General features: G+C 37.7%; 1 annotated feature.

The window, feature by feature from the left end:
* Positions 2,820 to 3,042: a silencer, noted in NCBI's record as "fragment chr1:233710261-233710483 (GRCh37/hg19 assembly coordinates)". NCBI's record gives its function as "represses an EF-1alpha promoter that drives an FKBP-Casp9 reporter gene in an ReSE screen in K562 erythroleukemia cells {active_cell/tissue: K562}" and the evidence as "EXISTENCE:reporter gene assay evidence [ECO:0000049][PMID:32094911]".

The following is a 3,460-nucleotide window of genomic DNA, read 5'->3' as shown; positions in this document are numbered from 1 at the left end:
AACATTGTACTAGAGTTTCTAGTTAGCATAACAAGCAAAGTACATATAAATTATAAATGACATGAACTTTAAAACTGTCATTCATAAGCAATATAATTATATACATAGAATATACAAAAGTCCAACACATATTTGAAGTAGTAAATGAACTTAGAAAGATCATTAGACACCGGGTTAATATGCAAGCATCAACTAAATTTCTATTTCCTAGAGACAAACAATTGAAAATTGAAATTATAAAAACATTTCCAGTCGCATCAAAGAACATCAAATGCCTAGTAAAAATTTAATGGAAGATGTTATGGTAGAAAGAACAATGGCCTCCTAAAGATGTTCATGTCAGAATCCCTGGAACCTGTGAGTTAATGCCTTACATGGCAAAAGGGGCTTTGCAGATGTGATAAAGTTACAGACTTTTTGATGGAAAGACTACTCTACATTATCCAGAAGGTCCCAGTCTAGTCACATGAGTCCTTAAAATCAGAGAACCTGGTTACTGAAAGAGATATGAGGGTAGAAGTAGGGTCAGGAAGATGTTACATTGCTGGCTTTTAAGATAGAAAAAGGAGACCATGAATCAAAGCATTCAGGTGGCTGCTAGAAGCCAGAAAAGGCACTGAAATAAACTGTTGCCTAGAACTTCCAAAAAGAATGCAACTCAGCTGCTACCTTGAGTTTAGCTCTGTAAGACCTATTTTGGACTACTGACCTCTAAACCTGTAAAATAATAAAAGTTTGTTGTTCTAAGCCACTATGCTTGTGGTAATTTGTTACAGCAGCAATAGGAAACTAACATAGATCTTGGTTCCAATACGCCATACTTTTGATACCAATACTCTATACTGTATACTTTTGTTGCTGCTGTAACAAATATTTAAAATTATGGAGAGATCTTTGGACTTAGGCAGTGGGTAGAGGATGAAGGAATTTTAAGGGACATTATAGAAAAAGCCTAGAGTGCCTTCACCAGGCTGTTAGGAAACTATTCCTAGTTTATTCTGAAACTTCATCATGAAAAGGTGTTGAACTTGTGAAATACCTTTTCTGTATCTATTAAAATGATCCTATAATTTTTTTCTTTATCTTACTAACATAATAGCATTGATTGATTCTTTTATGTTATGAATTCCTGGAATAAATGCATCTTGATCATAAGAAATTATCCTCTTATGCATTGCTGGATTTGATTTACTGTTATTTTGCATCTGTGTTTCTGAGGAATATTGGCATTATAATTTTTCTTTATTGTAATGTCCTTTTCTAGTTTTGTGTCAGAGTCATACTAGCCTGATAACAAACACTTGTAAGTGTTTCTTCATTCTGAATATTAATGTAATGACTGCTAGTGAGGACTGAGAAAGAAGTGAGCAGGATGGTGGAGAAAACCTATGATGTCTTATAGAATATAGAAATTGTCATAAACAGGCTATCGGTGGAAATATGGATGCTAAAGCATTGCTAATAAGGGTTCAGGAAGAAATGAATACAATGAGACTGGAGGAAATTACAACCTTGTCATATAGTGGTAGAATGTTAAGCTGAACTACATTCTACAGTTATGTGGAAAACAGAATTTGTTACGAACTTGGATATTTAGCTGAGGATATTCCCAAGCAAAGTATTGAATATGCAGCCTGGTTTCTCTCTGCTTTTCATTATAAAATGTGAGAGGAAAGAGAACTGTTAACCCAAAAGAAATCAGCACTTGATGATTTGGAAAATTCCCAGTCATTCTAGGTTATGAAAGATGCTAAACTTCAAAGAATCACAGGAAAGCTTGCTCTGGAGGGCAAATCAGGGGAGTAGCTGGACAACATTTCCCTCGTGGTTTGGAAGGAACAAAATATCTTCGAAGGAAGAAGGCATGTGATTCATGGATTTCCTTAGCTATCTCAGCAGAAGCCAAAAGTAGATATGGGGTTATCTAGAAACGACCTGTGGATGAGCCTCTTGTCTAATGAGTAAATCTCCATGACATATACCAGTGACTCACATTGTCCTTGAGAATTTTATACCAGCAAAAACACTGCCAACTTAGACTGAAGGAGACAGCGTGAAATGAAAGGCTATTGGACTCCTAAAAGTCTACAGGTAGAAAGAAGGCCGTAAAACTACTCAGCTGCAAACACGTGCTAGCCTTCATTGCAAAGGATAACTCAGAGGGCAGAGCTGATAGTCCAGAGGGTAAAACCCTAAGCCCAGAGGGCAGAGTTGTGAACCAAAGAGGTTTATCTGAAGGACTTAAACCTAATGTTGTTTTCCCAGCTTAATTTTGAAATTGCTTGGGACTGACGATTCCTTTTTTCTTTCCATTTTTCCCCTTTTTGAACAGGAATGCTTGTAACTGGTATTCATACCTGTACCATTTTATATTTTGAAAAAAACACATATTTTGAGCCGGGCGAGGTGGCGGGCGCCTGTAGTCCCAGCTACTCGGGAGGCTGAGGCAGGAGAATGGCGTGAACCTGGGGTGCAGAGCCTGCAGTGAGCCGAGATCGCTCCACTGCACTGCAGCCCGGGCAACAGTGAGACTACGTCTCAAAAACAGAAACAAAAACAAAAACAAAAAACAAACAAAAAAACACAAATATTTTCTCATATTTTCTAGTGTCACAGGCCCACAAATGGAGAAAAATTTGCCTTATGATAGCTCATATCCAGAGTCTCACCCATATCTGACTTAAATAATTTAGATGAGATTTTGGACTTTAAGTTGATGCTGCAATGGGCTGCAAATTTTGGGGATATTGTGTTAAAGGAAGCATATTTTGCACATGGAACAAATGTGAACATTTGAGGAGCAGGAGGTGGAGTATAGTAGGTTATGTGGGGAGTCACTGAAGCCTCTGTCCAACCACCAGCAAGGAACTGAGATCTGACAACAGCCATGTGAGTGGGTCTTCATGATGACTTCTTCAGAGGATTGCAGCTCCAGGTCACAACTTGACCGAACCCACATGAGTGACACTGAGCCAGAACCACTTAGCTAAGATTTATGACCCTCAGAGAACTATGTGAGATAATTAATATTTGTTGTTTAAAATTGCTAAGTTTGGGGGCAATTTGATATGAGGCAACAGACAACTAATATAATTTAGTAATTTTATGTAAAAAATAATGCAAGTATGATCCAAATGTCCATCCATTGATGCACGAATAAGTAAAATATTTCTACAATAGAATATTATGTAATCATAAAAAGGGATGAGATAGTGATACATACTGCATGATAGATTAACTTTGAAAGCATTAGGCTGTGTTCTCGCTTATAAGTGGGAGCTGAACGATGGGAACACATGGACATATAGAGGGAAACAGTGCACACTGGGGCATACTGGAGGGTGGAGGGTGGGAGGAAGGAGAGGATCAGGAAAAATAACTGATGGGTACTAGGCTTAATGCCTGTGTCACGAAATAATCTAAACAACAAACCCCCATGACACACATTTACTTATGTAAC

Source organism: Homo sapiens, chromosome 1 (genome assembly GCF_000001405.40).
Source record: "Homo sapiens chromosome 1, GRCh38.p14 Primary Assembly".
Classification (NCBI taxonomy): domain Eukaryota; kingdom Metazoa; phylum Chordata; class Mammalia; order Primates; family Hominidae; genus Homo; species Homo sapiens.
The sequence above is the reverse complement of the archived record's forward strand: the minus strand, read 5'-3'. Positions and strand labels throughout refer to the sequence as shown.